Consider the following 25,276-nt stretch of genomic DNA (forward strand, 5'->3'; position numbering starts at 1 on the left):
GTGATCCACCTGCCTCGGCCTCCCAAAGTGCTGGGATTACAGGCGTGAGGCACCGCGCCGGGCCTGGCTTCCCGAAACTCTTATCTTCTCTCTTCTGGCGTCCTAAGGGCACTCTGTACACAGCCCTATCAGAAACGAGGTCACACTGCACTGTTGTTTACCTGTCAGTCTCTCTCCCTAGATGTATAGCTTTTTTAGTAATTTGTTGACATTATCACTTCAATGATATTACTTTGTGATACTGACATTATCACTTCAACGAACACAAATCACCCACAATCGAAGATTCCAGTGAAGAACCACAGATATGGAGCTGCATTGGAGTAAAGCTAGGTATCTTGTACAAAACCAGTGGTTCCTCACCTATAACGTAACACATTTGGAGAAATTTCAAACTCATTAACTGACTATGGCCTCAAACTAAATATGGGAACATAACTGAGGAATGAATGACAATTGAATTGCATACCCTGTTATACATGGCTAAAATGAGTTTAAGCTGAATAATTAGTAATTAATAAGAATGATGGGAATCACTTCATGAAATTGAGTCACAGACAAGATGCAAAAAGAAAAAAAGAAGAAGAAACCAGGCCGGGCGCGGTGGCTCAGGCCTGTAATCCCAGCACTTTGGGAGGCCAAGGCGGGCCGATCACCTGAGGTCAGAAGTTCGAGACCAGCCTGGCGAACATTGTGAAACCCTGTTTCTACTAAAAATACAAAAAATCAGCAGGGTGTGGTGGCACACGCCTGTAATCCCAGCTACTCGGGAGGCTGAGGCAGGAGAATCGCTGGAACCCGGGAGGCGGAGGTTGCAGTGAGCCGAGATCGCACCATTGCACCCCAGCTTGGGCAACAAGAGCGAAACTCCGTCTCAAAAAAAAAACAAACAAAAACCAAGATCCTGCAATCTGATAGTCCCTATTTCCAGAATCCCATGGACTCAAAACAACAGATCACAGGGATTCACAAGGTGGCTGGAAAGTGCACTCCCGTGGTCAGAGGGATTCTCTGGAAACTGCAGCCTCCACTTACTGAATATTATCGCTGTTCTGGGGAATCTTCAAGCTTGACCATACATGGCCTCCGGGGGGAGCCAAGGAGGACGCTGAGCCGTCAAGATTAAGAACCTTCACCTGCGGGAGGGCAGGGTGAGGTAGGAGACAGGTGGGCACCAGAGAAGAAATACGCTTATCTTCCGGGCAGGAGGGCTGAGGAAGAGAAAGGACAGACTAAGGCAGAGAGAAGGCCTGGAGAAACAACGGGCCCCGGCCTAGCGACCCAGGTTCCCACCTGCCTCTGGCTCTGACTCACCGCGTGGTCTTGGACAGACACAGTCGCTTCGCTTCTCTGGGCCTCAGCTTTCCTATCTGTAAAATGGAGGTGATGACAGTGTCCACATCGTCGGGCAGGAGCTGGATCATAAGAGCCAGCGAACTGGAAAGGCGGTTTGTAACCTGGAAGGCTTGGGATGGAGCATCGTCATGATTTTGTCCTGAGAGCAGCAGGTACCCGGGCGGGGTCCAGAACCGTGACGCGACTGCAGCGCCGGGGCCCAGCTCGTCTGGGTGCTCCCTTCAGTACCTCCTTCCGAGAGTTCCCAGCGCCCAGGCCCACCCTGATCCCGGGGCTCGAAAAACTTTGCCTCCAGCTCGCTCCACCCGCATTCCCTTCCCAGTTCCGCCCCGCAGCCGCTCACTCACCTCCAGACCCAGAGCCGGCGGGAGCCGCATCTCTATGGTCGGCCGCGGCTGGAACGGCCCCCGGGGCCCGCTTTGTGCGACCGCCTCCGGCTCAGCCGCCTCTAGGATATTGGGGATGTGGAAGCCACTCTCTCTTCCTCTTGCCGGCTGCCGGGGTACTCTATGTTTTGTCTCTGTGGTTTTTCCCGCCCTCCACCCCCACTCCAGCCCTGAAGCCGGAGAAGCACCATCGAGAGCTCTGGGGTAGAGTGGCGTGGGCTTCTCTGTGGGTGTGGCGGGAAGTAGATGAAAGGACCCGGGGCGGGGCCGAACGCAGCTTCCCCAAGGTGCAGGCGCGGTGAAACCATCGAGACGGAGGGCCAGAGAGTCACGGCGGTGAGAGGGCTGAGTGACGGGTTACCCCAAACCATGTGGCTGGAGGCGCGAGCTGGGGTGTGGGCGAGGTTCAGGAGGGGGTTCCTGGGTGTCGCGGAGGGGCCGGGGACGGGAGAGCTTTGTCTGTGGCCTTCCATGCATAGGTGTTTTGGAATTCTGGATCCCAGTTCTGAGGCTCAGCCGAGGTCACTGCTGTCAGCTCACCTCCCTGCATGCCAGGCGCAGGGCAAAGTGGCCGGGGTTCGGGGTTGGAGGAGAGGTGTACTAGAAACAACTTTGCTCTTGTCCCTCAGGATCTTATTGTCTACGATGTGACGATCCGTGGAGAAAGTAGCAGATGGGCAGATTTTCATTTGGGGAGAATGAGGGAGAAAAGAACGGGCATTCCGAGCCAAGAGCACTGCATGAGCAAGGAGTTGGGAGGTTGCTTACTTGTTGAACATATTTGTTGCGTATTTGCATATTTGCTAAACAGGTAGTGTTAGGAGCTAATCCATGAAAGGTAGGTGGGCGCCGTATTGTAGAGAGCCTTGAGTACCAGGCTGAGTTTATACCCAATTCAGGGGTCTGCTGGGAGCCAGCCATTGAAGGTGCTGGAGCAGAGAGAGATATGGTATTGGAGCTGATCCCTATGATGAAAGATCTGGACCCTTGTGTAGATGTTCCGTGAAGCAGGAGGTGAAGACCTATTAAAATGCCATTTCAAGAACTACGATTTTAAAGACAGTTTAGGTGGGAGGTAATAAAGGTCTAAACAAGACGTTAAATATTGGGGACGTAAGGGGGAGGATATTTGAAGGACATTACTCATAACAAGACATAGGGTTACTGACAAGTCAACGGACGCTTCTCCCTTGCTGACTGCAGCCAATGGACCCCTTTTTATCATAGCTGGTCCCAGGGACCACAAAAATCCTGTCCATCCATTACCCTGATGTGAAGCCTGTTTATATAGCTCTTTTTGGTTTAAGGCATCTCCAGACATGGTCCTCTGGTAGGAAACAGGTATGAGTAGACTAATGAAGGACAAAATGGGATGAGGGACCTGGAGCCTCCACCCTTGCATTCCAATACCACCCTTACCCCACAAAAGGAGGGTATTGACCCACACAGTAATGCTGACCTGTGGCCAGGGCTGGGGAGGTCCAATTTCTAATCTGTGCTTTGTCCCATCTCCACTGTTCCCCACCCCTAGGTTTTCGTAACACCCCAGGGCCTGTAAGGTTTGGTGTTTCCCTTTCAAGATGCCACTTTCAGACTTTATTCTGGCTCTGAAGGACAATCCCTACTTTGGGGCTGGATTTGGGCTGGTGGGTGTGGGCACAGCCCTGGCCCTGGCCCGGAAGGGTGTCCAACTGGGCCTGGTGGCATTCCGGCGCCATTACATGATCACACTGGAAGTCCCTGCTCGAGACAGGAGCTATGCCTGGTTGCTTAGCTGGCTCACCCGCCACAGTACCCGTACTCAGCACCTCAGTGTCGAGACTTCGTACCTTCAGCATGAGAGTGGCCGCATTTCCACTAAGTTTGAATTTGTCCCCAGCCCTGGAAACCATTTTATCTGGTAAGGTGGGGAGCTAGGGAGGGCTGTGAGAGTAGAAAAGAATGATGGGAGCTGGGTTTGACCCATTCACTCACTCAGTTTTGATCGTTCTTATTCAGGTATCGGGGGAAATGGATTCGGGTAGAACGAAGTCGAGAGATGCAGATGATAGACTTGCAGACGGGGACTCCTTGGGAATCTGTCACCTTCACGGCCCTGGGCACTGACCGAAAGGTTTTCTTCAACATCCTGGAGGAAGGTGTGGGATGGCACAGGCAGGCTTTCTAGGGACATTGCAGGGATGGGGACATTTGACATCAGATGAGCAGTTTGGAGAAGTGGAATAAGCAGGCCGGGGTGAGCCCATGGGAACAGGGGGCCAGAAGGAAGCTGTTTGGCACAGCTCCACCTAATTGAAGAATCAGCCATGGTGAAGAGAATTATTGGCTTTATCTCATCTTCTCCTTCCCAGCTCGAGAGCTAGCCTTGCAGCAGGAGGAAGGGAAGACCGTGATGTACACAGCTGTGGGCTCTGAATGGCGTCCCTTTGGCTATCCACGCCGCCGGCGACCACTGAATTCTGTGGTTCTACAACAGGGTCTGGCTGACCGAATTGTCAGAGACGTCCAGGAATTCATCGATAACCCCAAGTGGTACACTGACAGAGGTGAGAAGCAGCTGGGGTCTTGGCTGTGCTGTTTTTGACATTTTTAGAAGGGACAGGTTGGTCTCCAGCCAGATGGGGTGATATAAAGCTCTAGTCCAATTCCCAGAGATTAAGAGGAATGAAAAGTTGTGTATGAGAATGATTTATTTCCGTACCAAGGTTATCAGGCTTCCAGGGGGCAGGGCTGGGAATGAACGTAGATATCCGGGGCAAAAGACATGATCATCCTGGCTCTATCCCTAGGCATTCCTTACAGACGTGGCTACCTGCTTTATGGGCCCCCTGGTTGCGGAAAGAGCAGTTTTATGTGAGTATTCAAAATTTCTCTCAACTTGGCAAAACGAAGCCTTTGTGGAAACACTAGGCTGATAGGGTTGGAAGGGGAAATGAATCTGGGGATCGGGGACCAGGATAAACATGAAACGTGTGGAACATCAGGGTGTGAGGTAGAAGTCAGGCCTCTGAGACACATGTCCCCAGGCGGTGAGGAGAGTAGCTGGGCCTGAGGAAGCATTTCCAGGTTGCCTGCTACCTCCTGCCATCCCATGCTCCATAGCACAGCCCTGGCTGGGGAACTGGAGCACAGCATCTGCCTGCTGAGCCTCACGGACTCCAGCCTCTCTGATGACCGACTCAACCACCTGCTGAGCGTGGCCCCGCAGCAGAGCCTGGTACTCCTGGAGGATGTGGATGCTGCTTTTCTCAGTCGAGACTTGGCTGTGGAGAGTAAGTGAGGGGTTCTGGAGGAAGTGGAGTGGGTAACTGTGGAACAGGGGAAGAAAGCAGAAATCCAGAGGGCTGGTGGAAGATGCCTGGGTTAGTGACAAGAGCCCACAAGACACATGGATAAGTAGGGGAACATAGTGGGGCATGCTAATTTTATGCTGGGCTATGACTACTCATGCTTCCTTATCTTTGCCTTCCTCCAGACCCAGTAAAGTACCAAGGCCTAGGTCGCCTCACCTTCAGTGGACTGCTCAATGCCTTGGATGGTGTGGCTTCCACCGAGGCCCGCATCGTGTTCATGACCACCAACCACGTTGACAGGTAGGAAGGAGCCAGGCATCCTGAGACTTAGGCAAGAGCCCACCTCCTCCCCTAGTGCCTTGGGAGGAACAGGAGGTCGAGGGGCCATCTCTGTTGGGTGCTAGTGTGACCTGCTTTCCCTGTCTTCTCTCAGGCTGGACCCTGCCCTGATACGCCCGGGGCGAGTGGACCTGAAGGAGTACGTGGGCTACTGCTCACACTGGCAGCTGACCCAGATGTTCCAGAGGTTCTATCCAGGGCAGGCACCTTCCTTAGCTGAGAACTTTGCAGAACATGTCCTTCGAGCTACAAACCAGATCAGTCCTGCCCAGGTGCAGGGCTACTTCATGCTGTATAAAAATGACCCTGTAGGGGCAATTCACAATGCTGAGTCTCTGAGGAGGTGATCAGGCTGGGCTCAGCTCAGCTCTCCTCCTCTAGCTCAATAAACATCTGCCACACTACTCTGCTCTCTCATCTCCCTTCATCACTGGATTGGTACTTGAGTAAGACGGGCTGCAATCACAGGTGCCTACAGGGGTCAGTCAGGCAACCACATATACAAATGATGGGGCATAGCCTAAGATAAAGAGATGAGACACAAAACAGGAAACTAAATTCCTCTACCTAAAGGCATTCTATGTATATAAATAATGGACAGGCATGGGTGTGTACACAATGAGTTGTTAACGGTGGGTCCTAAGGACTCTGCTTACATGCTGACATCCCACTAGTTTTCCCTGAAACTCACTATACTAGCTGATGAGATGTCAGACCCTCTTTACCCAGCTCTTCGGAGAACAGACTTCAGAGCAAAGTTGGGGGCTGCTCTGCCACACCCCAATCTTATTAGGAATTGAGAAAAAGAGCCATTCCTCACAGGCTAGGCGCTGCTAAGCAAAGAAAGCCAAAGAAGGCCAAATATCTTTATTGCCTCCCTCCCATCCCCAATTCCCTGTTCCCCCCACCAAGTCCTGCTAGGAACCATCCTTAGATTCCAGGCCCAGGGACTCCCTCCGAGTACCAGGCCGGTATGCTCCCTGGCCCCGAGGCAGGCGAGGGTAGGAAGAACCGGGTGTCCGGCCTTTAGAGCGCTCCCAGCGAACACAGTCCCGAGTCCTGCGGGGTGGGGGCCCCTGCCAGCTGCCAGGCCCCTTCTCTTGTGGAGGACCTTCAACTCCTTGGCTATGGGGTTCTGGCTTTAGGTCCATGGGCTCCTTGAGGGGCCCCTCAGGAGGTGGCAGTTCCTGGGTGTCACGGGTACCTTTAGGGGCGTGGCACTCCCCTCCCTTTGGGTGCCTCCGTTCGGGCTGTCGCCAGGGACCTCGACTGGGCTTGGGGGGATCTAGCATAGCTTTCTGGGTTTCGCCCAACCTTTGCTGATTTGACCTGGTCCCTGGAATCTTCTCACATATGTGCTGGGTCGCCACAGGCAGAGGAGGTGGCAAAGTGGATTGGACGGCTGGTGAGGTGGATAGTTCTGCTGCAAGGGTGCTGGGTGGTTGGGATCCTTTGGAGACATCTACAGCTGACTCAGGTTCCGCAGGGGCAGGAGGCTAGAAATAAGTGACAAGATGCAGTGAGGGAGATGCAGTTCCTCAAGGTGGGGAACTACAGGCCCCTCTCCTACTATCTGGGCTGACCACGATCAGCCTATCATCTTCCTGGTTAGAACAAAGCTCACTCTGGGGCCATGGCTGATTGGGGTTTGTAGAAAGGTTGGTGGCATTACAGGACAACTGGGAAGCCCTTCCCTCACCTGCTGAAGGCTGATGAAGTATCGGTTTCGCTCAGCCTCAAGGTCAATGATTCCCCCCCGCTCCTGCTGCCTCTGGTAGAGCCGCTTGCGTTCTTCTTGCTGGCGCAAGCTCTCTGCACTGGGCTGGTACAGCTCCTGGAAGGAAGAATGGCAGAGAGGAAATAATGAACAGCAGAAGGCTGACTCAAACCTCTACTCCTCCCAGGCTGCCTCAGGAGATCTGCACTGGTTTTGCCCCTCAGGTCTGGGCTCCCAGAGTCTTAGGCTCCCGCCAGTGGGGGATGTGGCTTTGCAGAGAGGTCCTAGGCAGTTCAAGCCCAATTTCAGAGATCCCATTTGACACAGACAAGATGCCATTCCTTACTCTTTAGAAAATACCATTACTCCTGGCTCAGATTGGAAAAAAGTCTCCTTACCATGGGCTGTTGGGGTTCAGGGGCTGCTTTCAGTGAGGCAAGATCATACACGAGGGGCTCTCTGCACACTGGACACTGCACACCGACTGCCTTCTAAAAAAGAGAAAAATCATATGCCTGTGTCACAGCCCAGGATGCCCCCTGGTGCTGACCCATCAGCCAACCTAATCTGCAGAGGGCTGGGACTAAAGGGCACAGGGACACCGGTTCAGCAGTGAGTTGGGACAGAGCACGGGTTGTCTAACTAGAGATCTGGGAACCCCCCGAAACTGCATGCAATATGTAAGTGTATATAAGGATGCCCTGGCCAGGCACGGTGGCTCGCGCCTGTAATCCCAGCACTTTGGGAGGCCGAGGCGGGCGGGATCACTTGAGGTCATGAGTTTGAGACCAGCCTGGCCAACATGGTGAAACCCCGTCTCTACTGAAAATACAAAAATCAGCTGGGCGTGGTGGCTCGCACCTATAATCCCAGCTACTCGGGAGGCTGAGGCAGAAGGATTGCTTGAACCCAGGAGGCGGAGGTTGCAGTGAGCCAAGATTGTGCTACTGCACTCCAGCCTGGGTGGCAGAGTGAGACTCCATCTCAAAAAAAAAAAAAAAGGATGCCCTTTATTCTGGACAGAGGTAAGAGTTCATTAATCTCAAGGGTATCTATGACCCTGAAAAAGTGAAGAGCCACTGGAGTGGAGAGATGGAAAAGTTTGTGAAAGGCTGTGCCTAAGGGTGTCAGATGAGTGTGCAGGTGCAGTGAGGTCTACCTGTTTGGTTGTAGCATGCTGCCGTTCCTGTTCCTGCTCCTGTCCTTGTGCCTTCAGCTCTTGCTCCATGTGCTGGATGTACCGAGCAAGGCAGTGGCAGTGGAAGTAGTGGTAACAGGGTGTTTTGGTAAAGGCCTCCTTCTCCTAGAGGGAAGGCAGATGTAGGGCACTAAGTCAGAGCTCTCTCACAGCCCTCATCTGCTGGTCCCAAACAGAATGCCAGGTCCCAAGAGAGAAACCCACCTGGAAACCATAGAGGCAGATGACACACTGGCCATGAGGGATGTTGTTATCTGTGAGAATTTCCTTCCCTTTCTGAGGAGAGAAGACACTGATTAAACGGGGGTAGGGGGAAGAACGGTGAGCAAGGCCTGTCTACTACTCCTAGGAGTGACTGGCTAGACTTGGCTCCTAGCAGGCCAGTTTGTTACCTTGTGTTTATGCATTTCTGGCTTGGTGACGCTCCCTCTGCTGGGAATCAATCCTTCTCCACATCTCTGCCCCTCCCCCAAAATTTGATCTTCCTGGTTTCAAAATTCAACCTAATTGTTTTTCCTTTCATTAAGTCACTTTTAATATATCTTGGAGATGAAAATAATACACCTTGAGAAAAAAAATGTTCAATTAAAATTTATCTTCTGGGAGGCCTTTCTTGATTAGCCCCCTTCAATATCACTCCCCCATGGGGCAATGTGTTTGTTCTAAGTCAGCTTTCAGAAAGCATGACAAGGCATGGACAACCCAAATGGACAGAGAATTCACAAGGCATTGAGTTGGGCTGTGAACTATGCATTTGAATTGTTATTTGAATAGCTAATAGTGTACTCTGGAATTCCACAAAGTCCAAGGCTGCATTGTGGAGGCCTGACCTAGGACTGCTACGGTGGCCTATCAAACCCACTCTCTTTGACTCTCAGCCACCCACCTTCATTCTATTCTGAACATTTTTCTTAAAAATTTAAACTAAGAGAGGCTGGGCGTGGTGGCTCATGCCTATAATCCCAGCACTTTGGGAGGCTGAGGCAGGTGGATAACCTGAGGTCAGGAGTTCAAGACCAGCCTGGCCAACATGGAGAAACCCCATCTCTACTAAAAATATAAAATTAGCTGGGTGTGGTGGCACATGCCTGTGATCCTAGCTATCTGGGAGGCTGAGGCAGGAGAATCACTTGAACCTGGGAGGCGGAGGTTGCAGTGAGCTGAGATCACACCACTGCACTCCAGCCTGGGTGACAGACTAAGACTGTCTCAAAAAAAAAAAAAAAATTAAAATTAATAAATAAACAAACTAGGGGAAAATAAAACTGTACTTAATTTTATATTTTTAATCTCAAACAATAAAAGTTTTCTGTGTATATTGGAGCTTCAGGTGTTGCTTCATGTGGGTTGTTTCATCAAGCAGTGTATAAGCTCTTTCAGTAAAGGAACCATGACTTTTTCTTTTTTTTTTTTTTGAGATGGAGTCTCACTCTGTTGCCCAGGCTGGAGTGCAGTGCATGATCTTGGCTCCCTGCAATCTCCGCCTCCCGGGTTCAAGCGATTCTCCTTCCTCAGCCTCCCAAGTAACTGGGATTACAAATGCCCGCCACCGTGCCTGGCCAACCATGACTTTTTCTAGTCAGGTCCAATGGCAGTCTAGCCTTCAAATGTTCATTTATGGCTAAGACGCCCCCAAGCAAGATGCGTATCTTTTGCCACTTTCAGTTGCCAGTGCCAAGAGAACAAGACATATACTGAAACTGATGCAAGAAAAATTCAAGGTGAAGAGGAAAAGTCATTTTCTGTCAAGATGCTGGCATAGGCAACTTGGAGAAGCTACTGAACTGTCTTTTGGGAAGTTTTTCAAATAGAAGAGTCTCATTTCTCTGGATTAATTTAGGCCTTACCTAATGACTCCAGATCCGTTTAAGATTCTAGGCCCATGGTTTCCCTTTTACAGCTAGAAACTGCTCTAGCTTGAAGGAAAGAACATATCTCAGACTAGCGCACCTCTTACCTCAATGAGTTCATACAGCATGGCAGTGCCCAGCCCAGCCTTGGCCACGTGGCCCAGCACCTGTAAGATCCTGGAGGAAGAGGGCAAACCAAATATTAGACCTGCCCATTTCTGTCACCGGGCAAAGCTGTAGCTGAGTTTTCCCTGTTCTGACAGGTTCAACTTACGTGTGGATCTGTTCATCTGAAAGTCCTCGGGGATTTCGGATAGAGATCTGTGGCACCTCATGGGGATACTAGTGGGGGCAAATAACAAGTTACTGCTGAAGCGGTCCACCCCAGGGACTCTCCCCTTCCTCCCTTTGCTGCCACACAGTAGGGGCTTCACCTCTGCTGGGACCTGAAGCACCAGAGTGAAGCAGACATACTGTGAATCCTGGTCCTCTGCAGTGGCAGGATGCAAAGTGATGTAGATCTCCCATGGTGAAGTTCTGCAGGTGGATCAAGTGGACACGCAGATGTGACTGGGTAGGGGCTTGGGGGCTGGGGAGGATGGGGCTGAGACAGTGAAGTGGGCAAAGGAAGTACACATTGGACTCTTTCTTTTGGGGTAGGATTAAAGGAATAGCTTTTGTCTACACAAGAGAAATATTATCTCTGAATCAAGGCTCACAATGTCTTAAGACCCAAATTCAGCATAGAACCTCTCCTCATTACTAGGGGGACTCCTGCCCACCACTGGTTGAATACATACCTGCCATTTCCTTTAATCACCTGTAGTTCATCTAGATAGATGGACTCCAATACTTCAACTTCAGAGGGAAGGACCCTAGAGAGACAGGAGTAGACTAACTTACCATTACAGCTCTCCCTGTGGAAGCCTGCTAAGGCCAATAAAGGCAGGCTTTGTAGAAAAATGGCAATCTACCAGAATGCATTCTCCTGCTAAACTCCTTAAAAACAAGGAATATGTTACCTTAAGTTGTCAACTGGCCAAATAGAAGGCATGGAAATCAGAATTTTAGGCATCATTTCTGCCAACAGATGAAGAAGTGGATTCTAGAGAAGTAAAATGACTAACCAAGGCTTAACATAGGTAGAACTAGGCCCAGAGCCAGGTTTCCTGACTCCCTGTTTAAGTTTCATTCCCCTTAGTGGCTGAATCTCTGGTCTAGAGATATGGCACTCATTCATTAGCATTAACGTTACCAATATTACTCCAACCTTTCCCTACGTCACTGTCCAGTGTGGATCCCAGTGCCTTGGCTACTGTCTACATACAGTTTTAACACCAGTCACCCTAAGCCTTCTTAAAGGAGATAGCAACCTCAACACAACATATTTAGGGTGGTATAAAGGCTGTGTTGTAATGGAAGAGCCAGCAGCCTCGGAGTTAGTTAACAGGTACCAATCACTTACAAGCTATGCAATCTGGGACGTGACCTCTCTGTAAGCTTAAGTTATCCTGTCTGTCACATATAGATAATAACACCTACTCTCTAGGGTTATTGTGAGGATAAAAGGTGATTTGTTTACATAAAGTACCTAATAGTATCTGGGCTATCGTAGCTAGTCTACGTCCTCTTTTTTTCCTGTCTGTATATAACCTTCTCCCTTAGAAGGAAAGAGGGAAGGAAGGAGGTAATAGAGTACTCTGGATGTATTTATGACCTGGCTGTCTGGTTGATCTAGATCAGCCTGTTGAGGTTAGGATCCATGGTTCTGATGTAAATCAAGGGACACACATACTTAAGCATAGAAACAGCAGTTGTAATGAAATTGAAGCTGAGTGATCAGTTTGTGTCTACAGCTCTACCAAGTGATACATGGAAAAATGCACACTTTGCTTTCTCACACTGCTCCCTCTTCATTCTAAGAGTAAGGCTGCCCCAGCACGACCTATGTCAGTGTTGTTAAGTCTTAGGCAGAAACTTCAAAATATAAAATATAAAGCTTCACACCTCACAGATAACAGTGTAGTTCTGGCTGACATGGGAGTGGGAGTCTCACAGTACTACAGGCTGCTGCACTCATTGTTGCTGTCTCCATGGCTCAAGGTGTCTCCCCTGAATCTTAAAAGTTCCCCTGAACAGGTAAACTGTAAGTTATCCCAGCGCTTTGGGAGGCTGAGGTGGGAGGATCACTTGAGGCCAGGAGTTCGAGACCAGCCTGGGCAACAAAGCGAGACACTATCTCTACAAAAAATAAAAAATTAACTGGACACGGTGGTCCCAGCTACTTGGGAGACTGAGGCAGAAGAATCACGGGAGCCCAGGAGGTCGAGGCTGTAGTGAGCCATGATCTTGCCACTGTACTCCAGCCTGGGTGACAAAGTAAGACTCTGTCTCTTAAAAAAAAAAAAAAAAAAGAAGTTTCCCTGAACACTTTGAAAACCAGTAGTCTAGATACTCTTAATAACGGCCAGTACTAGCTGGGCTCCCTGAACCAATGTAACATTGAGGTGTAGCCTCAGTCAAGTGGCCCTTCAATACTTCGCCCACCCTAGTTATATGGGTCCTGGATGGGATGGTGGTAAGGTGGTGACAACAAAATGGGGGAGGGGGGCCGGGCGCGGTGGCTCAGGCCTGTAATCCCAGCACTTTGGGAGGCTGAGGCGGGTGGATCATGAAGTCAGGAGATAGAGACCATCCTGGCTAACAGGGTGAAACCCCGTCTCTACTAAAAATCACAAAAAATTAGCTGGGTGTGGTGGCGGGCGCCTGTAGTCCCAGCTACTCGGGAGGCTGAGGCAGGAGAATGGCATGAACCCGGGAGGCGGAGCTTGCAGTGAACCGAGATTGCGCCACTGCACTCCAGCCTGGGCGACAGAGCAAGACTCCGTCTCAAAAAAAAAAAAAAAAAAAAAAAAAATTGGGGGAGTGGGGACTGAAGAATGTCCTAGTACAAAGAATCTAAGGTGTGGAGTCAGACAGATATGGATTTCTATTCATAATTTTCTATCTTTTGGCAAATCACTTTACTTCTTTGGGACTCATCTAGTCTTCCCAGGTGCCTGCACCTCAGTTATTAATGAAAAGGAGGCCGGGTGTGGTGGCTCACGCCTGTAATTCCAGCACCTTGGGAGGCTGAGGTGGGAGGATCACTTGAACCCAGGGGTTCAAGACCAGTCTGGCCAACATGGCAAAACTCCGTCTCTACAAAAAATACAAAAATTAGCCAGGCATGGTGGCACACACCTGTAGTCTCAGCTACTCGGAAGGCTGAGGCAGAAGGATCACCTGAGCCTGGGGAGGTCGAGGCTGCAGTGAGCCGTAATCGCACCACCGCACTCCAGCGTGGGCGAGAGTGAGACTCTGTCTCAAAAAACAAAACAAAACAAAACAAAAAACAGACTTAAGTATATTACAAATCCGTCGTGATCCTCTCAACTATTCTGAGGTAAATGCCACACCCACTTTTTTTTTTTACAGCTGAGGACACTGACTCACAGAAGCTAGATGGCCTGTTCAGCATCACACAGCTAATAAAATGTGGAGTTAACCCACATTGATCCTACTTCCAAATCCCAGAGTCCTTCCATGTTCTAGTCTTTGGTTAAGAATGCTTGAGAGAAGGACTAGAGGGACTTTATATGAAGTGTAAAGCTTTATTCATACAATAGTCCTCACTAGTGCTGTGTGAGAGAGAGAAGGCTGAGGAAAGCGTCGGCGGAAAAAGGCTGATCCAAGGGGAAAGGGGGCCGGAACTGGAGGGCACTGGTTCTGAGAGGAGAAAGGGAGATGGGGAGGTCTGATGGGCAGGCATCCCCCAAAGCCCCTGAGAAAATTCATTTGAGGAGGAGAGAAAGGGATGGCGTGAAGCTGGAGGAAAAGGGATCGAACCGGATGCGGCGAGGCCTGAACTGGCCTGGCGGGCGCCGACCCGTTCTCCTCTCACTCAGATCAGCGCCCCTCCACCCTCCCGTTCCCCAGTCCAGCTTTCCCAGAGATGTCAGCATCTCTGCCATCCCTCATCCCTCGCTCCACCCCACACGCCCGCCGTACGGACCGTCTGCGACAGCTGCTAGGCCTCTGGACTAGATCCAGGCTGTCAGCCAAAGCCCATGCCCCCAAAGTTACCAGTCCTCCTCCCCTGCAGCTGCAGACGCAGACGCCGCCATATCTTCACCGGCCCGCAGCCGGAACCGGAAATGCCCTTAGGGAAGTCGGAGGCGGAAAACTAAGAGGGGTGGGCAGCTAGCGTCGTTTCTAGGCAACCGCAGACTCCGGGTCCTTAGCCGGGCCTGATGGCCCTGAGGCAGTTCGGATGTGTCCCAGGAAGTGCCCATGTGTGGTCCGCCGTCCATTCCACACCTCTGAGCGCCTTTGTCCTCTGAACTTCTCACCAGTTCTAGCGAGTAAAATTGTAAGAAAGGGAGCCGAAAGAGACCGGAGGGAGAGGCGGGTGGAGAAGAATTATAAGTCAGGCAACGTATGCAGGCAGCCAGAAGAGATGGGGCTAAACGCCAGGGAATCCGTCCCTTGGCCTGAGGAGCTTGGAGCTCCTAGGCTGGGGGTGAGAGAGGGGCTCTGGCCTGCGAAGCGCACGGGCCAGGGGGTCTGAGAGCGGGTGCTGAGGAGTCTGGGAGTGGCAGGAACTTGGGGGAGACTCAAAGGAGCAGGGTTGGTTGGGCGAGGCTAGGTTGAAAGAGTAGGGTCGAGTGAGCCAGGCTGGGTGAGGGAGAAGGGGAACCAGGTGTTAGTTGGGCATGGGGCCGGGTTGGGGACAGGAGGATGAAAGTGGGGAGGAACTACAAAGAGAAGCTCTGTTTGTTCCAAGAGCGCATCATCTTTGCATGCATTCCACCCTCCCATGTTTTTTGAGGCTTTATTGTGAAAAAGAGGAAAAGGCAAGGTGGCTAACATTTTTCCTTTCCCGTGCCCCAACTAGGCGTCCCAGATGTTGTGGAACTGTCCCTGGATCTATAGCTCTTCACCGTCTCTACTTTCTTCCTTCTAAGAGATCCTGAAACCTCTGTCATGGAAAAGTACCACGTGTTGGAGATGATTGGAGAAGGCTCTTTTGGGAGGGTGTACAAGGGTCGAAGAAAATACAGTGCTCAGGTGTTGCACAAAGAGGGATACCTTTTGGGTGGGATTTGGTACCCCCAACTCCAGTGGAAAATGGATCTAGAAGGAATGTATTTATACCAGTTTGTATTCCTAAGGTACTGACTCCCTCATACTTCTTATGGAGTATAAGCTTTGAAGTTGGATTATTTGGGTGCAAATTCCATCTCCACCGCTTTCTAGCCCTAGAATTATGGACAAATTACTTAACTTCCCTATGTCTCAATTTCCTTATCTCTAGAATGGGGATAAGAACAGCAACTGATTGATGGAGTTTGAGGATTAAATATGTTTTCACATTAAATCACTTAGTACAGTGCCTGGCTGTTAGTAAACAACAAATATTATTAGTCTCTAGCACACCATGTAATAAGAGGTAAACCACTTGAACTCTATTATTTCCTCTTCATTTTTTTTTTCCTTTCCTTTCTCCTAAATCTCATCTTGAGTGCTGGTCAAATCAGAACACTTCTTCCAGAAGGGGAAATGTTTTGCAGATGCTGTTTCCTCCTGGGATGAGGAATGGGGAAAGCCTGGATAAGGCCAGGGTACCATGGAGAAAATGGAAGCGGGAGACTAACAGAAATAATAAGAGTTACTCAAACACTCTAAAATCTGACTTCTGGAGCTCTGAGATTAAGGCTGAAATTCTAGATCTTTTCAGTAGTGTGATTAGGCGTTAACTTTTCACCTTACCACTGACAGGTCGTGGCCCTGAAGTTCATCCCAAAATTGGGGCGCTCAGAGAAGGAGCTGAGGAATTTGCAACGAGAGATTGAAATAATGCGGGGTCTGCGGCATCCCAACATTGTGCATATGCTTGACAGCTTTGAAACTGATAAAGAGGTGTGCTTTGACAGTTTTGGGCCCTGTCTCCCCAAGCACAAGGGTTCCAGGAATTTCCCAACCTCAGAATGCATGAATCTGGAGCCATCAGTGCCACTGCCTTCTCTCTGTAGGTGGTGGTGGTGACAGACTATGCTGAGGGAGAGCTCTTTCAGATCCTAGAAGATGACGGAAAACTTCCTGAAGACCAGGTATGCTTTCTGCCTTCAACTTCTCCCCACCTCCGACCTCTCTCCAGGTTAGAGAACTGGTAGAGCAAGCTAAGGACACTGAGAGTCTCCATTTCAAAGACTTCTGAGAAGAATATAAGAGTCTAGGTATATAGAGGCAGTGTAGTGTGGGAGTAAATTATGTAAACGTTGGAGTCAAAATATCTGAGCAGGAAGCTTGGCTCTGCTCCTTCCTAGCTGGGTCTCATTGGACAAGTTACTTTAATTTCTTTGTGCTTAGTTTCCTAATTTGTAAAATGGAGATAATAATCATGTTTGCCTGATAAGTCTATGATGAAGAGTGTTAAGTCATGTAATGTGTTTGAATAGTTAGCTATTATTAACATTATTGTTATTAGATACCTTTAGGGAAGAAGGGCCAGTGTAATGGTACCAGAAAGAGGGCAGTAAGAATAAAGGTTGTGGGGAGTCAGGATTTGGCACCAGGACGTAGTGGTTAGCAGTGGGATTTTGTTGCACATATCCTCCAGCCACATTTATTCTAGGCGTTTGTCTGTACCCAAGCAAGTAGGCCCCCCCTGGGATTCATTATTGCAGCATTCTCTTTCCTTCTGAGCACTCACCACTATTTGTAAGTAATCATATTTTTGAAATTATTTTATTTTTAATTGAATTTTATTTTTTGAGACAGAGTCTCGCTTTGTTGCCCAGGCTGGAGTGCAGTGGCACAATCTTGGCTCACAGCAAACTCCGCCTTCCAGGTTCAAGCAATTCTCGTGCCTCAGCCTCCCCAGTAACCAGGATTATAGCATGCGCCACCATGCCTAGCTAATTTTGTACTTTTAGTAGAGATGGGGTTTCACCATGCTGGCCAGGCTGGTCTCGAACTGCTGGCCTCAGGTGATCTGCCCGCCTCAGCCTCCCAAAGTGCTGGTATTACAGGTGTGAGCCACCACGCCCGACCACCATATTTGTTTTATCTGTCTTGTTTGTTTGTCTGACTACTTTTCTTGAAAAAAGGCATTTTGTCTTATTTAATAACAGGTAATGTGTATTGAATATTTACTATGTGCCAGGCACCATTCTGAGTATTATTTTGCATGCTTTAACTCAGTCCTCACAATAATCCTCCATGTAGATGGTGTTATTATATAGATTGTCACCTTAGTTTGCCCATGGTCAAGCAGATAGTAAATGAGATTCAATAAATTTTTCTTGAATGAATGAATGAGCAAATGAAAGAGTGATTAAACAAGGGGAACAATAACTAAGAAAGAATAGTGTGAAGCTCTGCAAGAAAGGGAAGGAAGAAAAGATTAGCAGTAATATTAAGAGAAATTTTTGGGCTTGTCAGCCAGCTGCTGTTTCTAACCTTTTTTTTCTTTCTTCCACCTCTTTAATTTCTAGGTTCAGGCCATTGCTGCCCAGTTGGTGTCAGCCCTGTACTATCTGCATTCCCACCGCATCCTACACCGAGATATGAAGCCTCAGAACATCCTCCTCGCCAAGGGTGGTGGCATCAAGCTCTGTGACTTTGGGTAAAGATTCTGAGCATCCATCTAAGCTTCCAGTTCCACACGGAATCTTTTTTTTTTTTTTTTTTTTTGAGATGGAGTTTCACTCTTGTTACCCAGGCTGAAGTGCAATGGTGCGATCTCCACTCACCACAACCTCTGCCTCCCGGATTCAAGCAATTCTACTGCCTCAGCCTCCAGAGTAGCTGGGATTACAGGCATGTGCCACCATGCCTGGCTAATTTTATATTTTTAGTAGAGATGGGGTTTCTCCATGTTGGTCAGGCTGGTCTCGAACTCCTGACCTCAGGTGATCTGCCCACCTCGGCCTCCCAAAGTGCTGGGATTACAGGCATGAGCCACTGAGCCTGGCCCCACAGGGAATCTTAGACCATACTCTTGACTTATTTGGGCCTCATTTTAGAACCGGAGCTAGAGGCTGGGACTGCTGCTGGGTCTTCTGGAACCTAATCAAAGGTGCTCCCTCTGCTCCGGTTTGGGATATCTCTATGTTAGGTAGTAGTGACCAGGTTTAGAATATCTTTTCCCTTTCCATTTCCATCCCATTATCTTCTGCAGATTTGCCCGGGCTATGAGCACCAATACAATGGTGCTGACATCCATCAAAGGCACACCACTCTATATGTCTCCAGAGCTGGTGGAGGAGCGACCATACGACCACACAGCGGACCTCTGGTCTGTTGGCTGCATACTATATGAACTGGCAGTAGGCACCCCTCCCTTCTATGCTACAAGCATCTTTCAGCTGGTCAGCCTCATTCTCAAGGACCCTGTGCGCTGGCCCTCAACCATCAGTCCCTGCTTTAAGGTAATGAATATTGAAAGGGAGATGACTTTTACATTAGAAATCTGTCTCCCTCTATCTCTGTTCCTTTTTCCAAATCCTTTTCCAGAGCTGAGGCGGGACTTTGCAGTTACTGAATTAATGGCTGTGTTATTCTGTTCTCGCATTGCTATACAGAACCACCTGAGACTGGGTATTTTATAAAGAAAAGAGGTTTAATTGGCTCACAGCTCCATAGCCTGTACAGGAAGGATGGCTGGGGAAGCCTCAGGAAACTTACAATCATGACGGAAAGCAAAGGGGAAACAGGCATGTCTTACGTGGTGGACCAGGAGGAAGATAGAGAAAGGAAAGGTGCTACACGCTTTTTTTTTTTTTTTGAGACACAGTTTTTTTTTCTTTTTTTTTTTTTGAGACAGAGTCTCGCTCTGTCACCCAGGCTGGAGTGTAGTGGCGTGATCTTGGCTCACTGCAAGCTCTGCCTTGCAGGTTCACACCATTCTCCTGCCTCAGCCTCCTGAGTAGCTGGGATTACAGGTGCCCACCACGACACCCGGCTAATTTTTTTGTATTTTTTAGTAGAGACGGGGTTTCACCGTGTTAGCCAGCATGGTCTTGATCTCCTGACCTCGTGACTCGCCTGCCTCAGCCTCCCAAAGTGCTGGGATTACAGGCATGAGCCACTGCTCCCAGCCTGAGACAGAGTTTTGCTTTTGTTGTCCAGGCTGGACTGCAATGGCGCGATCTCGGCTGACCGCAACCTCTGCTTCCCAGGTTCAAGCAATTCTTCTGCCTCAGCCTCCCGAGTAGCTGGGATTACAGGCATGCACCACCATGCCTGGCTAATTTTGTATTTTTAGTAGAGATGAGGTTTCTCCATGTTGGTCAGGCTGGTCTCGAACTCCCAACCTCAGGTGATCCGCCTGCCTTGGCCTCCCAAAGTGCTGGGATCATAGGCTTGAGCCACTGCACCCGGCCAGGGCTACACACTTTTAAACAGCCAGATCTCGTGAAAATTCATTCACTATCATGAGAACAGCAAGGGGGAAGTCCTCCCCCATGATCCAGTCACCTCCTACCAGACCCCTCCTCCAACATTGGGTATTACAATTCGACATGAGATTTGGACGGGGACACAAATCCAAACCATATCAATGCCAGAGCTGGGCCAGGCAGCCTTGCTTTTCTACTGCAGGGTCTTAATTCTGGGAGGGTGTTCTAAAGTTTGCCAAACCTGAGAATGGTAACTCCAGTTTGAGCCAGGCTATGCTTTATCACAATGAAAAGGTAATTGGAAGATACTAGAGATCGATACTGGTCCTCTTACATGCCATCTATTCCACTTACTTCCTGTCAGATGCTATGTCCACATTCTAGATGTTATCTACATAGCTTTCAGTCCAAAGCTATCAGAATGGTGAGAGCTGGTGGAGCTGGTTCAGTGATTAGGGGCAGATGATAGAGGTGGTGCCTACTCATTGTGACTAAGTCAGTAGTCTGGAGGAGGGAAGAGTAGAAGAGGAGTTGGACTTCTTTTCTATTTCTTTTTTCTTTGAGATGGAGTCTTACTCTGTCACCCAGGCTGGAGTGCAGTGGCACGATCTCGGCTCACTGCAAGCTCCGCCCTCCAGATTCACACCATTCTCCTGCCTCAGCCTCCTGAGTAGCTGGGACTACAGGTGCCCACCACCACACCTGGCTAATTTTTTGTAATTTTTAGTAGAGACGGGGTTTCACCGTGTTAGCCAGGATGGTCTCAATCTCCCAACCTCGCGATCTGCCCACCTTGGCCTCCCAAAGTGCTGGGATTACAGGCGTGAGCCACTGCTCCTGGCCTCTATTTCTTTTTTAATTAATTAAATTTTTTTTAAAATTTTTTAGAGACAGGGTCTCACTGTGTTGCCCAGGCTTGTCTCAAACTCCTGGCCTCAAGCAATCTTCCTGTCTCAACTCCTAAAGAGTTAGGATTACAAGCATGAGCCACTGCACCCAACCTTCTTTTATTTTTTATGTAGGGCAAGATTATGGATTTTCAATAGAATTTAAATGCAGTCTTCTCCCAGAGTGAAACCTTATTGTAGCTTTGCTTTATCTGAGATGAAAAGGGACAACAAATTCCTCCCCTGTTTAGTTGAGGGGGCCCGAATAATTGTCAAGAATAATCTAAATGAAGGAATCTTAAGTGGAAGCGGTGCACATAGGATATTCATTCTCCCTATGGGCAGATACTCAGGTATCTCCAGCAAGATCCATAGTTATACAGCTCACTTTGTTTTAGAACAGTGGTCATAATCTACTAATACCTCTGTTCCTATTTGAGGCCCAATTGAGGATTTCCCCAAAGATTCCTGATAAGGATAAGGTGTATCCTTTTCAGAGACTGTCTCCCTATCTCTCCACCTCTGAAGACTTGCAGAAAGATTTCTGTTTTTGAGTACTCCCAAACACACCTTCATGCAATTACTTGTGCGTGTGAATTACTTGTAACCAAAAATGCATCTGTTCCTACCCAGCCACAAACAAACCATAGTCAAAGGGAGGGCAGCGTGAATAGTTTGGGAGTTCTTTGAATGTTTGCTGTCTGAAGATCATTAAGAAGGTGACATCTGTTTCTCCCAGTGTTTTTTCTCCCTTCTTTACAAAGTTGGTGCATTAAAATTTGTTTTTACATTTGGGAATACAAAATGTCTGTGAACAGGATTTGGGGTCCTCTCCCTAGGAGGTAAGATAGTGGTCTGTCCATGATTTCAGCCAGGAAAATGGGACCTGAACAAAGTTTTTAGAGGGCATGATCAAGAGCAGCTCATCTGCTGTGAGGATGGATGTGGGATTCTTGGTTTGCTAGTTCTGCTGATAGAGAGAGACTTAAGGGAAGGGAAAGAATGACTGATGGAATATTTTTTCTCTCTGTAGAACTTCCTGCAGGGACTGCTCACCAAAGACCCACGGCAGCGACTGTCCTGGCCAGACCTCTTATATCACCCCTTTATTGCTGGTCATGTCACCAGTGAGTCATCAGGGTTCCCAGGGCTCTTGGACTTCCCAGTACTTCCTCTAAACTACTTCCCTTTCACTTCCCCGACCATCTAGATATAACATGTCGTCTTTCCTCCAGCAGCTTGAACTTTCTTCCTAGCCCTTCACTTAACCTTTGCCACTTCCCTTACAACCCACTCTCTCTCTGTCACTTTTTCAAAATGATCTTCTTCCACAGAAGCCTGGAGACACTGAAGTTGTCCCTGGCCAAGTGGACACAGGGACTATGGCCCCCATGATCATGTCTTCCTCCTCTTCCCTCCCTGCAGTAATAACTGAGCCAGCAGGCCCAGATTTGGGGACCCCATTCACCAGCCGCCTACCCCCAGAACTTCAGGTCCTAAAGGACGAACAGGCCCATCGGTTGGCCCCCAAGGGTAATCAGTCTCGCATCTTGACTCAGGCCTATAAACGCATGGCTGAGGAGGCCATGCAGAAGGTGTGTGGGGCAGAGGAAAATATGTGAAATGACCAGGCTAGTGACTGGGGAGTTAGAGGAGGAGGGTGACTTTCTAGGGTTGGAGAAGGGCCGTGAATAGCATTCATATTGTCCTATAGCAATCAAATAGCTCTGATTCAGTGTTGCCCCCTACCTCCCACAGAAACATCAGAACACAGGACCTGCCCTTGAGCAAGAGGACAAGACCAGCAAGGTGGCTCCTGGCACAGCCCCTCTGCCCAGACTCGGGGCCACTCCTCAGGAATCAAGCCTCCTGGCCGGGATCTTAGCCTCAGAATTGAAGAGCAGCTGGGCTAAATCAGGGACTGGAGAGGTGCCCTCTGCACCTCGGTGAGAAGGGTATAGTTAGGGATTTGTAGGGTGAGGTATCTTGCACATCTTTAACTCTAGCCAAAGCAAATACAGAATGGTCCCTGTCACTAGCCACTGCCTAAACATGGATAGAGCCTCGAGAGTCTGAGTCCTGGATTCTTGGATTCTAATTATAGATGTTTTTCTGATTCATCAGGAAACTTGGGGACTTTCTCTTCTTTATGTACATTGACTGAAAGGTTGGCTGAAAGGGAAAGGATCATCTCCATCCAAAAGGGAAGATTGTTTTGAGTTGAAAGCCATAGGTGAAAACTGCAAAGTAGAATAAGCTCTAAAGTGAGAAGACAGTTAAGGATATTTGTGTAGTCGTCAACATATCCTGTACTGGTCATATCCCACATCCCAGAAAGAAGTCTCCTCTAGTCAATCCTATATGGCTTCTTTCTCATTCTTATCCTGGGTCTACAGAGAGGGACAAGTTAACGAACCCTAAGAGTCATAGGTTTGGAACCCGTTCTACCCCTTGGCTTCCTCCGGCAGGGAAAACCGGACCACCCCAGATTGTGAACGAGCATTCCCAGAGGAGAGGCCAGAGGTGCTGGGCCAGCGGAGCACTGATGTAGTGGACCTGGAAAATGAGGTGAGCCCTAGGGTCTCTTACTGACTTTGTCTCTTTCATGGGATGTTAAGTCTAGGTAGATGTTTTTCTAGAACAGTGATTCCCAACTCCCTAAGTATGAGCTCCCTTTGTGTTAAAAAGTATTGCTTTATTATTATAGATTTTAATTGTACAGTATCTGAACATATAATTATTTAAAATGGAAACACATAGGTAAAAATGAAAGTCCTCATTGAATCAGTCTCCAAGGTGACCAGTGTTATTAATTTAGTCCGTCTCCTCCCAAACTTTCTGTAATTTCACACACATGCATAAGCAAACATAGGCATTTATAGTTTGCTGTTTTTACATTACTGAGTTTTATTATATGTATTGTTTTACATCATACCTCCTTCACTGTATAATCTGGGATCTTTCTACACCAGAGCATGTAGTTTTACCACAATCGTTTTTTTTTTTTTTTCGAGACAGAGTCTCACCCTGTCGCCCAGGCTGGATTGCAGTGGTGCAATCTTGGCTCACTGCAACCTCTCCCTTCTGGGTTCAAGCAATTCTCCTGCCTCAGCCTCTTGAGTAGTGGGATTACAGGTGCCCACCACCACACGTGGCTAATTTTGGTATTTTTAATAGAGATGGGGTTTTACCATGTTGGCCAGGCTAATCACAAACTCCTGACCTCAGGTGATCTGCCTGCCTCAGCCTCCCAAAGTGCTGGGATTACAGGCATGAGCCACTGTGCCTGGTCTACAACATTTTATTAATATGTTTTTTTTGAGTTTTGCCTTTTTTTTAAAATAATTTCAAACTTAAAGAATAATTGTGAGAATACCACAAATAATTCCTGTGTATACCCTTGTCTTAGTCTGTTTTGTGCCACTATAACAGAATAGCTAAGACGGTAATTTATAAAGAACAGAAATTTATTTCTCACAGTTCTGGAGTCTGGAAAGTTCAAGATCAAGGTGCCAGCAGATTGGGTCATAGTCTCCAGGAGGGTGCCTCAAATGCCCAGTCCTTGAGAGGGGAAGAATGCAGTGTCCTCACTTTGCAGAAGTGCAGAAGAGAATGAACTCACTCCTGCAAGGCCTTCTTATAGCATCAGTCCATTCTTGAAGGCAGAGCCCTTGTGACCTAAACACTTCTGATTAGGCGCTGCCTCCTAACACTGGTGCAATGGGGATTAAGTTTCTAACACGTGAGTTTTGGAGAGGACAGAACATTCAAACCATAGCAACACTTTTTATTTATTTTTTTTATTTTTTTGAGATGGAGTTTTGCTCTTGTTGCCCAGGCTGGAGTGCAACGGCACGATCTTGGCTCACTGCAACCTCTGCCTCCTGGGTTCAAGCGATTCTCCTGCCTCAGCCTCCCAAGTAGCTGGAATTACAGGCATGTGCCATCATGCCCAGCTAATTTTGTATTTTGAGTAGAGATGGGGTTTCACCATGTTGGCTAGGCTGGTCTCAAACTCCTGACCTTAGGTGATCTGCCTGCCTCGGCCTCCCAAAGTGCTGGGATTACAAGCTGGAGCCACCACACCCAGCCTATAACAACACTTTTACCCCAAATTCATCAGTTGTAAAACTTTTGTCTCATTTGCTTTACCATCCTCTCTCTCTCTCTCCCCCTATGGACATAGCATCTTTCTGAATCATTTTAGGGTAAGTTGTACACATGCCCCTTTACCCCTAAATACTTTAGCGCATATTTCCTAAAACAAGATCCTTCACTTACACTAACACAGTACAATTATGAAAGTCAGAAATTTAACATTGATATAATACTGTTATAATAGATTAATTAAACTAATCTGTAATCCTTATTCAAATTTTGCTAATTGCTTCAGTAATGTGCGTTATGAAAATTTTTTTTCTGCTCCATGATCCAATCCAGTATCACACCTTGCTTTATTTATTTATTTATTTATTTATTGAGCAGGGTCTTACTCTGTTGCCAGGGTGGAGTGCAATGATGTGATCTCGGCTCACTGTAACCTCCGACTCCTGAGCTCAAGCAATCCTCCTGCCTCAGCCTTCTGAGTAGCTGGGACTACAGGCACCTGCCACCATGCCTGGCTAATTTTTGTGTTTTTTTAGAGAGAAGGTTTCGCCATCTTGTCCAGGTTGGTCTTGAACTCCTGGACTCAAGTGGTCTGCCCGCGTCAGCCTCACAAAGTGCTGGGATTACAGTGAGCCACTGTGCCCAGCCCACACATTGCATTTAGTTGTTATGCCTCCTTAGTCTCCTTTAATCTGGAACA

The 25,276-nt window shown here is 48.5% G+C and overlaps 4 protein-coding genes across 60 annotated transcripts in view, besides 3 other annotated features; 2 read left to right on the forward strand and 2 right to left on the reverse strand.

Moving 5' to 3' along the window:
- ZNF142 (zinc finger protein 142) overlaps window positions 1–1,958 on the reverse strand; it is a 26,295-nt gene extending 24,337 nt beyond the window's left edge. For 4 of the 22 annotated variants that reach the window (NM_001379660.1, NM_001105537.4, NM_001366289.2 and 1 more), the window contains exons 1-3: window positions 1,704–1,958; window positions 1,315–1,370; window positions 1,036–1,211 (exon numbers count right to left, since the gene is read on the reverse strand). The gene's annotated coding sequence lies outside the window, so the exon portion shown is untranslated. Of the gene's footprint in view, window positions 1–1,035; window positions 1,233–1,314 lie in introns of all 22 variants that reach the window. The other 18 variants (NM_001379662.1, NM_001379659.1, NM_001366287.2 and 15 more) reach the window with 8 other exon arrangements.
- Window positions 1,078–5,778, forward strand: BCS1L (BCS1 ubiquinol-cytochrome c reductase complex chaperone). 29 transcript variants are annotated; one of them, NM_001371449.1, is made up of 10 exons: window positions 2,018–2,078; window positions 2,372–2,553; window positions 2,642–2,756; window positions 3,274–3,642; window positions 3,741–3,880; window positions 4,094–4,288; window positions 4,532–4,595; window positions 4,845–5,014; window positions 5,218–5,335; window positions 5,469–5,778. In NM_001371449.1, exons 4-10 carry the CDS (start codon window positions 3,323–3,325, stop codon window positions 5,719–5,721), a joined length of 1,260 nt encoding a protein of 419 aa, NP_001358378.1. In that variant the 5' UTR covers window positions 2,018–2,078; window positions 2,372–2,553; window positions 2,642–2,756; window positions 3,274–3,322; the 3' UTR covers window positions 5,722–5,778. The 29 variants fall into 29 exon arrangements, 28 of the variants coding, with proteins under 28 accessions (XP_047301345.1, NP_001358378.1, NP_001358377.1 ...); NM_001371448.1 differs by lacking the exon at window positions 2,372–2,553 and having other exon boundaries at window positions 2,018–2,146; XM_047445385.1 differs by lacking the exon at window positions 2,372–2,553 and having other exon boundaries at window positions 2,018–2,137.
- Window positions 1,082–1,201: an enhancer, noted in NCBI's record as "active region_17126". NCBI's record gives its function as "activates an Ori minimal core promoter by ATAC-STARR-seq in GM12878 lymphoblastoid cells {active_cell/tissue: GM12878}" and the evidence as "EXISTENCE:reporter gene assay evidence [ECO:0000049][PMID:35858748]".
- Window positions 2,012–2,141: an enhancer, noted in NCBI's record as "active region_17127". NCBI's record gives its function as "activates an Ori minimal core promoter by ATAC-STARR-seq in GM12878 lymphoblastoid cells {active_cell/tissue: GM12878}" and the evidence as "EXISTENCE:reporter gene assay evidence [ECO:0000049][PMID:35858748]".
- RNF25 (ring finger protein 25) lies at window positions 6,227–14,337 on the reverse strand. Of its 2 annotated transcripts, none has more exons than NM_022453.3 (10): window positions 14,265–14,337; window positions 10,940–11,014; window positions 10,574–10,676; window positions 10,414–10,481; window positions 10,247–10,316; window positions 8,494–8,565; window positions 8,251–8,394; window positions 7,490–7,582; window positions 7,074–7,208; window positions 6,227–6,870 (listed from the first exon to the last, which is right to left on the reverse strand). In NM_022453.3, exons 1-10 carry the CDS (start codon window positions 14,303–14,305, stop codon window positions 6,292–6,294), a joined length of 1,380 nt encoding a protein of 459 aa, NP_071898.2. In that variant the 5' UTR covers window positions 14,306–14,337; the 3' UTR covers window positions 6,227–6,291. The 2 variants fall into 2 exon arrangements, with proteins under 2 accessions (NP_071898.2, XP_016860184.1); XM_017004695.3 differs by having other exon boundaries at window positions 14,194–14,337.
- Window positions 14,242–14,341: an enhancer, noted in NCBI's record as "active region_17128". NCBI's record gives its function as "activates an Ori minimal core promoter by ATAC-STARR-seq in GM12878 lymphoblastoid cells {active_cell/tissue: GM12878}" and the evidence as "EXISTENCE:reporter gene assay evidence [ECO:0000049][PMID:35858748]".
- Window positions 14,421–25,276, forward strand: part of STK36 (serine/threonine kinase 36) — a 30,632-nt gene continuing 19,776 nt past the window's right edge. For 4 of the 7 annotated variants that reach the window (XM_011510959.3, NM_015690.5, NM_001243313.2 and 1 more), the window contains exons 1-10: window positions 14,421–14,550; window positions 15,076–15,248; window positions 15,960–16,100; window positions 16,214–16,291; window positions 17,678–17,808; window positions 18,364–18,613; window positions 21,503–21,596; window positions 21,895–22,064; window positions 22,228–22,415; window positions 22,938–23,037. In XM_011510959.3, the coding sequence (XP_011509261.1) occupies window positions 15,165–15,248; window positions 15,960–16,100; window positions 16,214–16,291; window positions 17,678–17,808; window positions 18,364–18,613; window positions 21,503–21,596; window positions 21,895–22,064; window positions 22,228–22,415; window positions 22,938–23,037 (1,236 nt within the window). In that variant the 5' untranslated portion in view covers window positions 14,421–14,550; window positions 15,076–15,164. Of the gene's footprint in view, window positions 14,551–14,652; window positions 14,701–15,075; window positions 15,249–15,959; window positions 16,101–16,213; window positions 16,292–17,677; window positions 17,809–18,363; window positions 18,614–21,502; window positions 21,597–21,894; window positions 22,065–22,227; window positions 22,416–22,937; window positions 23,038–25,276 lie in introns of those variants that run through there. The other 3 variants (NM_001369423.1, XM_047443931.1, XM_017003804.3) reach the window with 1 other exon arrangement.

Source organism: Homo sapiens, chromosome 2, assembly GCF_000001405.40.
Source record: "Homo sapiens chromosome 2, GRCh38.p14 Primary Assembly".
NCBI classification, from domain to species: domain Eukaryota; kingdom Metazoa; phylum Chordata; class Mammalia; order Primates; family Hominidae; genus Homo; species Homo sapiens.

What these genes read in the sequence shown, in the direction of transcription:
- BCS1L (XM_047445389.1), top strand. Translation starts at nt 3,323, where the DNA reads ATGCCACTTTCAGACTTTATTCTGGCTCTGAAGGACAATCCCTACTTT. An exon ending in CAAGTGGTACACTGACAGAG is followed by an intron (nt 4,289 to 4,531) that starts GTGAGAAGCAGC and finishes CTCTATCCCTAG; the next exon opens with GCATTCCTTACAGACGTGGC. An exon ending in TGCGGAAAGAGCAGTTTTAT is followed by an intron (nt 4,596 to 4,844) that starts GTGAGTATTCAA and finishes CATGCTCCATAG; the next exon opens with CACAGCCCTGGCTGGGGAAC.
- RNF25 (NM_022453.3), bottom strand. Translation starts at nt 14,305, where the DNA reads ATGGCGGCGTCTGCGTCTGCAGCTGCAGGGGAGGAGGACTG. An exon ending in GCTGCAGGGGAGGAGGACTG is followed by an intron (nt 11,015 to 14,264) that starts GTAACTTTGGGG and finishes CTGTCTCTCTAG; the next exon opens with GGTCCTTCCCTCTGAAGTTG. An exon ending in TGCTGTATGAACTCATTGAG is followed by an intron (nt 8,566 to 10,246) that starts GTAAGAGGTGCG and finishes TTCTCTCCTCAG; the next exon opens with AAAGGGAAGGAAATTCTCAC.